Below are 11544 nucleotides of genomic sequence, written 5' to 3' on the forward strand. Positions count from 1 at the left end.
AAGAATATTTCTACTAATTAATCATGTCAATAAATCTTTCAATTAATCATGTTAAAATTTATTCTTAATTTTTTCACTAAACATATAAAAGGTAGTATCTTTCAAAACTATAAAAATAAGTCAGCATTGTTCAGTGAAGTATTCTGATTTTGTTTTGATTTTTATTACAGTGATTTTTGACATGTTCAATAATTTAATTTTGGGAATACATGTTCATAAAATCTTTCACAAAAGACTACAATCATGGAGGATACATCTTACTTTAATTAATAGAACAAGATTCCATCTAAGTGGATAATTTTAATATATAAGAAACATTTTCCTCTAGCAAGTACCTGGTTATTTGTATTTTCTTTTCATCATTATTATTAAACAAAATAAAATCAACAACATTTATTAAATGCTTATTTTATTATAGCACTCTCTTAAGAAGTTGAATAAAGTAAAGGAAATATATATGATTCTTGTTCAATTTTAAAAGTTTAATATAATCAACACTTATAAAACTGCATGCATATATATATATATAAAATGAAAAGTTAGCATTACCCTAAATATTTATATTACATGCCAGCAGTTAAATCAATATTATCTTAAGGGAATAGGTTGGAAGCCAGGCAGCTTGGTGCCTGTTGCTATATCCATCTTACTTTGAGATATAGGATATTGTTTGAACTTTGTTAGGAAAGAATGCTTCAACTTTATTAAGTCAATAACATAAACTCAGTATTTTTCCAGTGATCAAGTCTACTGTTCATCTGACTTGAGCATATCTTTGTTCTTTTATTTTTTAATTTTAAAACAAAATCATTTTAATTAAAAATTAATAATAAATAAAATAAATATTTTAATTATAAATTAATAAACTATCTCAATTTTAGTCATAATTTGCATTTTCCACTAACACACACTTGTCTGATATTGTGAAAGTATTCCTCGACATTTGATACAATTACTACTTTTGACTTCTGACTTAAAATGCCTGCTATGATTGCCTACTTCCTCCATGGTATAGCTGTTTCTTCTCAAGAATGCTGGATGGTTTATGGTATGTTTGGTTTCAGAAAAGATAGGCTCAAAATTATGTAACTTTTACTCACAGGGTCCAAAGTTTTATTGCTGATGAACTATGAATCAGACAAGTGTTCTATCAGGAGGAGTTTAGGCAACAATATGTTTAGCGAAAAGGATATTTAGGGTGACAAAATATATACATAATACAGTAATGAATTAAAATTACTTTTTTGTTGCATGATCACATAGAATATTGTGATAGTAATCTCATAGTCTCAATTATGAAAAAATATACTTTTAATATATAGTAATGTATTATAAACTGTTATTTTTCACTTTCTTTTTAAAATAAATGTGATATTATTGAATTGTATTGTCTTCCTTCAGTCATACATAAATTATTAATATTTTTGTTTAGAATTTAACAGTACACCAGAGGTTCATGGGGTCTGTGAGCTCACTCAAAAAGTCCCTCGAACTGCACATTGTCAAAGTATAGGAATTATGAGATTCCCTCCCAGAAGTGAATCCATAGAATTCAATATATTTTGAAAAAGGTCCTGCATTAAAAATTAAATTGAGAACCTTGCTTAAAAAAGTTGCAAGCCAAAGTTTGACATCTAAACCCTGAAACAAGGAGAATATTGCAATATAAGTAAATATTGCTATCTCTGAATTATTTAAAATGAAATTAGAAATACAATAAAAAGGAAGAAAATACCAAAAAGGAAATCTAAAAGATACGTAACAAAATTAGGACTGCTATATTAGCACGTGTATTTGACAAAATAGTATTTCAGGAGAAAAGCATACAAGTTATAAAAAGGGAAATTTGAAAATGAACAAACAGTCCAATGTGTGAATAGCGAAATTAGTTCAAAATGTATTGGGTCAAAACCTACAAAATGAATAATAATAAATGTAATCTTATTTCCACATAACAGAATTTGCATATTATTTTAAAGCCATATAGAAAATTTATGTAAATACTGACAGGATATTAGACCACAAAGAAGTAAAACAAATTTCAAAGGATTGATATAAAACATGTTCTCAGAATTTGGCAAAATAAAATGTAAATGATAAAAACAGAAAAATAGCTAATATTACCATATATTTGGAAAATAAAAACATGTCATTTGATAAAGTATCAGTGAAAAGAGAAATCACAATATTACACTGAATGTTATGATATATTTTCAACTAAATTTCCAAAAGTACACCTTAACATTTTAAGGATACAGATAGAGTATCCCTCAGAAAAAAATGTAAAGGCAATTATTAGGAAACAAAATGATTAAAAATAAATTAAAGTTTCAAGCAGAAGCTGCGAAAAAAGCTAAAGCAAATATAGATATCTAGATAAGTAAAAAGAATTGAAAGCAATTTTAGTTAACTGCTTAAAACATAAAAAGGAAACAAGAGAAATGATCAATAGAACCAAAAGTGTGTCTTTTGCAATGATTAATAAATAGCAATCTGGCAAGTATGCTTGCATCAAAGAAAGAACAAGGAAACAATTCTAGGAATGATACTGGGCATATAATTGTGGTAACTATGTTTCTAAAGTCAGTTGGAAAGAAGAGAATGATGGGGATGATTAAATGAGAATTCCACTTCCAGGTATATACCCAAAAGAATTAGAAGCAGGGTCCTGAAAAGATATTTGTACACCCATGCACATCACAACATTATTCACAAGAGCTAAAATGTGGAAGTAACCCAAGTGTTTAGAGATGAACGAATGGATAGGCCAATATAGTATATCCATATAGTAGAATACAATTCAGCCTTAAAAAGGAAGGGCAGGCCAGGCATGGTGGCTCACGCCTATAATCCCAGCATTTGGGAGGCCGAGGCAGGCAGATCACGAGGTCAAGAGATGGAGACCATCCTGGCCAACATGGTGAAACCCCGTCTCTACTAAAAATACAAAAATTTGCTGGGCGTGGTGGTGCACACCTGCAGTCCCAGCTACTCGGGAGGTGATTGGGAGGTGATTGTGCCACTGCACTCCAGTCTGGAGACAGAGCAAGACTCTGCTTCAAAAAAAAAAAAAAAAAAAAAAAGAAATGAAAAAAAGGAAGAATATTATGGCACGTATTAAAACATGGATTAATCTTGAGAACATTGTGATAAGTAAAATAATCCTATCACAATAAGACAAATACTGTATGATTCCATATACACAAAATATCTAGAGTTGTCAAAATTATAAGGTAGAAAGTAGAATAGTGGTTGCTAGCAGATGTGGGGAGGGAAAATGGAGAGTTATTGTTGAATGGGTATAGAATGTTTCAGCTTTGAAAGATGAAAACAGCTCTGGAGATGGAGTGTGTATATGGTTGCACAACAATATGAATGTACTTAATACCATTAAACTATTCAAACTGAACAATTAAAACCGTTAAGATGGTAAATTTTATATGATATGTATTTTACCACATTAAAAAAATGAAAGAAGAAAAGAGATAGCTGAAGAAGTGAGGAAGTGTATCGGGAGTATTGCAGGGACAGGAGGTTAGGTCAGGGGCTGTAATTATAAACAGGAATGCCTCTTGGAGAAGATTACATGATAAAACAAAATCTGATGAAGGGGAGGTTAGCATTTCATAGGTCACAAGAATTTTGACTTTTTCTCTGCACAGGAAGGAATTGGAGGGTTTTGAAGTTACAGTATTCATTTAAGGTTTTAATGGGATCATTCCAAGTACTGACAAGCTAAAAAGAAGGGAGTAGTTAAGTAGGAAGCTAATGCCTTCATCCCATGTGACAGTTGCTAGTGGAGTATATCAGGTTGGTAGTGGTACAGATGGTCTGATAGTTGATTTGTGGAAATATTTGAAAGGTGTTGATCTAAAATTTCTAGGAATTATATAATGTTAAGTAATTAAGGTGTTTCTACTGTAATAATATTTCACATTAAGAAAATATGAAATGTAACTAATTGCTTATAAGTGACAGGAAACTTCTTAATAAGCATATTGACTGTTATGCTCTGACATTGTACATTTATTATGTATAGGAAACCTGAAGTTTCAAAAGTTTAGGAATGTGGCTATATTTTAATATATGTTCAAATATAACCAAACTCAAAAATGTAGAATTGCTGCTATCATGTCATTAGATTCAAATTATCCTATAACCCATGAAGATAGCATAGCATGCTTCTAGCAGTATGAGTTCAAATGATTAATTTGTATATAAAAATACTAAGATGCCTCATTAGGTTTTGTGACTATAATCGCTATCAGTGTAACTTGAGTAAGTATAGACAAAAGGGGGATTTAAGACATTTTAGATAAAAATGCCTCAGGAAAATGTTTACATATAGTATTAGGCACCTATGAAACTATAAATTCAGGTCTGACAAATAAAAAGAATGTTATATTTAAAATAAATAATGCAAAGGACTTTAAATCAGCATTATGTTAAATATTATTGCTAACCACTGATCAAATCAAAGCAGAAAAATATATATAGCTTTCTTGATCCATTTGTTTTTATTTTTTATGTTTAAGAACAAAATAAAGCAAACACATGGTGGGTGGGAGTAGTGGTTATCAATTCTTCTTAAAGCATATTAAATGGTAAATTGTTGCAAAGTTTATATACTAACATAACTTTGATGAAACTTAACACTATAAAATAAGCACAAAAATAATTTCTTGTGGATGATTTGTGTGTATGTAAATATATAGCATTTTTCTAGAAACTTGAAAAAAAATTTTTAGAGGTGAGGATCTCACCATGTTTCCCAGAGTAGGTTTAAACTCCTGGGCTCAAGTAGTCCTCCCACATAGATGGAACTACAGGCACACACCATCATGCCCACTTATTATAGTTTTATCTAGAAATCTTGATATCAACACACATAAAAATATTCTGCTACTTCATTTTCAAGTGTGCTCTTTGTATTTCTTTGTGAAGATTGAAGATCAGTAATGAAATACAGTTGGTACAATTGTGTTACTCTGAAATAAACAACAAGTGAGACTCTAATAAAATTGTCACATATATTATAGGAATGTGTAATTGTGAATTCAGGTCAATACATTCTGTAAAATTGTGCCATATTTTAAAATGTGCTTTACCAGTCAGCTTGGAAAGCTTTTACCTTTCTTATGTTTGTTTTTATAAAGTAATGTATCAAATTATGGGTTTATAATGACATCTGACACAATGGTATAAAGACAGGTGTTTCAAAAAAAGTCAATCTTAAATTCAAAATGCCAAATATTGGGTATACACAAAACCCATGTGTAAGTAATTGAGTTAAAAATTTATGAAAGTGTAACAGCTATGAAGAAATACTTTTTACATGAAATGACCCTTAAAGTTGGTAATATGATAAACAGAATACTCTTAAAGTTCATAATTTTTTGACTAATTAAAATTAAAGGTCATAATTTTTTGACTAATTAAAAACATAGGCCTGGGTAACCTTATATTACCCTGGTTAAAGATAATTATGCAATCAGAAAATGCAAAGAATGACTATTTTTTCCAAAGTTGTATCACAGCTCAGTTGTTTATTGGTGTTCTGTTAATAACTCTAATTCATGTAGTCTATGACCACAGTCATTTTTATTTTTTAAAAGTACACTGAATGCAATTACATGAAAAAAAAATTCTTTGGAGGATATCCTACATCTGGAAAGTCTACATTTTAAAATTATTTCCCCCTGATTTATATAATTTGAGCTACTTTTGTATCAAGGTTTTAGGGAAAAAATACTAAATAATATAACTTTTCTAACATAAAATATTCTTAAAATTAGAAGGGTTTGTTTCCAATTTATTTGTAATTGGTAGCACAATTTGAAACATACAATCATTTTCATTTATTACTATCTAATAGCTTACATGCAATTAATTCCTAAATGACAATTTTTAAATGAGCACACCATTATCTAGCAACTTTTGAAAGGTGGCACTCCATCTAGATAAACTGCTGAGAAGGGGGAAAATAATTCAGAATTTTTTTTTCTGTTTGATCAGTTAATATTTGTTCAGTGAAATATTACTCTCTAGGAAGCACACCTTTCCTTTCTTCATGTAGAGTTAATAGTACTTTATTTTGTCTAGTATATAGCACTTTTTGATATTGAAATGATGTAATGACCGTAAGTGTGCTTTAAAAATATATATCACTATATTGGTAGGGAACTATTTAGATAATAAAAAAAATTCTCACTGAAAACTTAATACCTCTCCCAAAGTTTTGAATTAATTTTTTTTTAATTTTGTGTAAACCTCTTGTGTGATTCTAGCTCGCAAGATAAAGATTCCTAGAGCTGTGAAGGAGGGCATATGTATATTTTTTCACTACTGATTTAGTTTCCAGACTATTTTAGAAACTTAATAAATATTTTTGAATAAATGAATAGTTATTACTTCATCATAAAAATTAGGATGTGGGAAAATTAGCATAGTTTTTCAATTATAAATATAGGGAATATCATTGAGAACTGTTACTAGATTAACCTCATCAATCACATTTTAATAATCTGTACTACTCAAAAGTACTTACATTTTTTTACATCTACCCTTCAGTAAAGTCCAAAGAACAAAATAGCTTCAATTTACAAGTGTTTTTTTCAAAATATCAATAATATAAATTATAAATACTAAAACTTACAGAAGAGAGTTTGATTCACATTTTTTCGTTAAAATAATTTTTCAAATACATATAAGAATTTTTAAATGTATGTTATTTGGAAAGATGATTAGGAAAACTATTTAGTTCAAAAGAAGTGCTATCATAGATTACTCCTTAAACTGAGCTTAAAAATGATTGAGATACTGAATATGATGATAGTAACTGGAATTCTTTTATATGGGTAACATTTTATGAGAAAATAAAATTGAAAGGTAAATTACTGTACCATCTTTCCCTAATATATCTTTTATTCAGAATGCCTAAGGCTTAAACCCTGAAGAAAAAAAATAAAGCATCAAATAGTAGGGAAGAGTTCGGTGTTCTTTTTGCAACTGCATGTTGTGTGAAGAAGAAAATTAATTCAGGATTTCTTGAGCCTTGTGTTTTCCTCTTAAAAATGTTTTAAATGTCCTAATTTGCTTACAGTATTTGTTAATAAATTATTCACTATATACTTTTGTATATTATGTTTATAGGCATTTCTTTTGTAGGCAGTGGTTTGCACTGGCTACAACTAGTAATTAGTTAATAGCATGGTGACTTTCACTGTTCAAGTGTAAGGCAACCTCAAAGAGAGTGGCTGGCCTATGATTTAAGTAATCTATTCCTATCTTAGCTCATTTACCTGATGTCTGATGCTAAGTCAAGTAAAAAAATTGGTTATGCTCTTGTAATGGGTAAACATGGCTGGCATACTTAAGTATCTCATGAACTGAGAATGTTCTTTTTAATCTATGTATCTATCTATCTGTCTTTCCTTCCATCTATCTATCTATAACCTACCATAATAGGTGTCCCTATCATAAGGGACAACATAATCATATCTTCCTCTTCAATAAACCATTATGTCAACTCCCATTCCCTATCTCTGAGTGTCTTTTTAGTTTATTTTTAGAAGTACTTATTTTTAAATACATAAATAATGTTTACTCACAGAGACTCTTATATTTAAATTTGATTAAATATCAAACGTTATTCTACATGTTGCATTCCTTTTAAATAGTATAACTCTAGGATGATTAATTATCCTCATTCTGTCTAAAAATATATGTGAAGGTATAAAATTTAAGTAGTGAGATTAGCTATAATAATATAGCAGAAGAACACTATAGAATTATAAAGTCATTTTATACATTCTGGGTACCACATCTGTAGGATGGGAAAGTAATTGTTTATATTCTTTCTAGAAAAATGTTCAAAAATAATAACAAACTCACTGGACATTGTTCATTTCTGATATTGTTTGTTCCTATTTAGAAGTTATTTAAGTTTCATTCCAACCACCAAATGTCTAATAGTGCATGTTACAAAACCATGAGTAAATTGTTGTAATAATTTTTGTAGAGAAAACTATGATGTCTAATATGTACAGCACCAATTTAATATTAGTTTTTCTACAGGAAAAATCAGTGTCTATTGAACTTCTAAAATTACAGATTAGTGGGTGAGAAATGTATGCATTTATTTTTTCATTAAGGACATTAATATGTAAAAGTAGTGGATTAATCCATTTAAATAAATACATTTTGATAAAAGTAGAAATAATACTTTTATTATACTTTGATCTAAACAATTTGAATACACACAAATAAACATTTTATTGATTCTGAATGGGAATAATGAGATTCCCATTATGGGATTCATGAGATGATATTGGGAGACAGGACCATGTGGTGATTCAAAGTTTCTAGGCGCATACAATGTTTTCCTTTAGCTTCATTATTTTATTCCTAGCTGTGAGATCTTGAGTTCTAAGGTTTGGTTTTCTCATATATAAAAATGAAAATGCAATCAGCTCAAATGGAGTAGTAGTAAGATTCAAATTAAACAATCCAATAATAGCTTTGTGTCAGTGCCTAGCATAGAGACCTCAAAAAACTATCAACTATGGTGATTATATAAATAAGAATAATTAGAATTACTGTGGGTATGCAATCCATTTCCTTAAATACTATACATAAGCATGTATACTGAATGAGAGGTATACATATAATTAGCATACCGTCTCTTCTAGCTCCATATTCAAATATCTCAGGTTAATCTAAAAAAATACAGAGGTATTTTATATTCCACATATATTTAAGTTCCTACATATATTTTATATATCCTATAAAATATATCCTATGTATACTAATATCCTACATATATTTTATATCTCTATAAAATATATATATATTTTATATCCTACATATTTTTTTTAACAAAACTTACAGAAGAACCAAATGAATCCCAATTTTTTTAGGATTGGATATAAAACATCTCTTAATAAACATGCTTATTTTTAATTTGATGCACTCTCATTTAGCAAATGTTACTTTACAATGATTTTATGCTTAGTGTTGGTCATTTGAATAATATATATGCATACATATAGGGAGAGAGAAAGAGAGCAAGTGCACAGCTGCATACACATTTACTACCAGTCTGAATACATCTTTTTGTTATTCACTAAAAAAGAATTAAAGTAAATTTTAAAAGTTTGGGGAATCAAAGTTAACATTACACAAGCATGTTTGTTTCCTGTCCTTTATGATTTTATAATAATTATAATATTATAATATTTAGGCTTTTTATCATTTTTTATGGTAATTGATCTTCTAAGATGGCTAATTGTTTAGGCCTGGGCTCTTCACAATTCTGATAATGTATATTTAGGAAAGTTCTTAAGGTTCTGTTCATTGCTAGTCCATGTGAACTTAAGGAGAAAATGTAGAGTGGCTCATGCACCACAGAGGAAAAATGGTCATATCTGCAAGAAGGTAAACCTGCACAAGGTGTTGCAACTCAAGCAGAGTGAAGACGGTGATTCCCTGCAGGGGAAGTCTGACCTGAGATGTCAGCATATAAGCAAGACGTGGAAGACTTACACCAGAAACATGGTCCAGAACACAGTGTCAGAACCCAAATGACTTAATAAAGACCCTCTTAAAAGAGGAGAGTCCAGCTTGTGGTTTTGGAAACAAACAGAATTAAAAGTATCTATTTAAATTACAAGATTCCCTTGTTCTTGAGACTATATCTCTGCAAGGCACCCAGTCAGTTTCAGTATACTGTATTCCAAAGTTGTTAACGTTATTTCTTCATGGAGAAAAGTCACCAATTCGATATTAGTCTATGGTTTGATTTTCTATTATTTAATTTTAGCATATATTTATTTCAGGCTCTATAATTATTTTATTTTTATTGTACTAATATTTACTGGGTTCAAAGTTTTAACACTATGTGGAAATTTATACTTAGTGAAATCTTTCTGCCGTCTCATCACATTTTCACCTCTCTGAATTTCATTTCTCTGACAGATACAAAAATAGTTGTCAAATTTTGGTTTATTTTTCTTGTATCTTTGTGTAAGAACCAAGCCATCACTTCAAAGCTCTTTACATGCTGGAGCTGAAACAGGAAGTTGTAATTTGCTTTTAGCCAACAGAATGTGGCACAGTGATTGATAGAACGTTACTTCCATGATAACATGATATACAATTTTACCTTCTATCTTACTAATTAACTCCGTCTCTGCTGTGGCCACTCCCTTTGCTTGCACACTTTGATGAAGCTAGGGGCTATATTCGAGGGGTCCAAATGACAAAGAACTCAGGCCTTCAGCCAACAGCTGGCAGGAAACCAAGTCTCTCAATCCTACCAGCTGCCAGGAATTAAATCCTGCCAACAACCATGTTAGTTTGGAAGGGGTAAGAGTCTCTCAAGTCTAATTTCGCATAAAAACCCAGTACTGTTCTATCTCCTCATGATAGCCTTGTGATAGACCCTGAAGCAGAGGATACAGTTAAGCCATAACTGGATTTCTGATGCAGAGAAGCTATGAGAGAATCATGTGTGCTGGTTTTTAGCTGCTGAGTTTGTTCTACTATATTATGCAGCAATAGATCACTTACATAAATATCATTTGGTAGAATGTTCACTACTTATAAAGGTGTGTCACTTCTTTTCCAGATTTTAAGGAGTCCTCAGAGCTTAAAGATCAGCAGAAATCCAAATATATTCAAGAGAAAACTAATTTGGGGGTTTCTCCTATCAGCTATTAGTACAAATCATGTCTAAGAGATAAAACTAAGAGTTTTATTCTCTTGTGCTGAGGTGATGGCAGGAAAGAGCATAATTGCATCACACTCTGGGATCGACATCCATTTATGATCACCTTATTTATCTGATATGATATCTCACTATTTCCAGTAATTAGCTGTTTAAATCACACTGTCTTCTGTCTCCTCTTACCCCATGAGTGTGCTTTTATAGCTCAGCAAAGATGTTATCATCTACAGAACAGTTTATAATAGCAACCTTCGTAATACTTTTACTTTGCCCCACCTCAGACAGATGTCATGGGATTTGACTTGTAAAAAATCATGGGACATGCAAATGTACGAAAGACAATTATTAGAAAATCGATTGAGACCATAGTAATAGATTAAATTTTTCTATATTTTAAAATTTTAATAACACAAAAAGCTAAAGACTTAAGAATTATTTGAAAAAATCAACATCAACTACTGATTAAAAAATAAATCCTCAAATAAGTCTCCCTCTCCCTCTGCCTCTCTCTTTTCCTTCTTGTTTCCCTTCATTCGTCTTGTCCATCTTTTTCCTTTGGACTTTCCATTACTCTCACTTGCTCTCTTGTTCTCTAGCTCTCATTCCTCCATCTTTCCACGGATAAACCTAAACTGAAATCTAAACATTGAAAAAACAGAAGCATAAATCAGTATTAAATCAAATTTAAACAAGCAGGTTCAAAATCACTAACATTATTTAACATATTTTTCTGGAGTTAGTAAATTCAATCATTCAACAGAAAGAAATCAATTAAAAATTATAGAAATGATACAAATTTATCATCATTTTATATAATG

At 30.2% G+C, this 11544-nt stretch overlaps 1 long non-coding RNA gene across 1 annotated transcript in view; it reads right to left on the reverse strand.

The window, feature by feature from the left end:
- Nucleotides 1–9934: 9934 nt before the first annotated feature.
- The window catches only part of LOC105377428 (uncharacterized), a 34489-nt gene continuing 32879 nt past the window's right edge, over nucleotides 9935–11544 (reverse strand). Inside the window, exon 4 of the long non-coding RNA XR_939203.4 lies at nucleotides 9935–11365. This is a non-coding gene — a long non-coding RNA (uncharacterized LOC105377428). The remainder of the gene's footprint in view (nucleotides 11366–11544) is intronic.

The sequence above is a fragment of the Homo sapiens genome, chromosome 4 (assembly GCF_000001405.40).
Source record: "Homo sapiens chromosome 4, GRCh38.p14 Primary Assembly".
Taxonomy (NCBI): domain Eukaryota; kingdom Metazoa; phylum Chordata; class Mammalia; order Primates; family Hominidae; genus Homo; species Homo sapiens.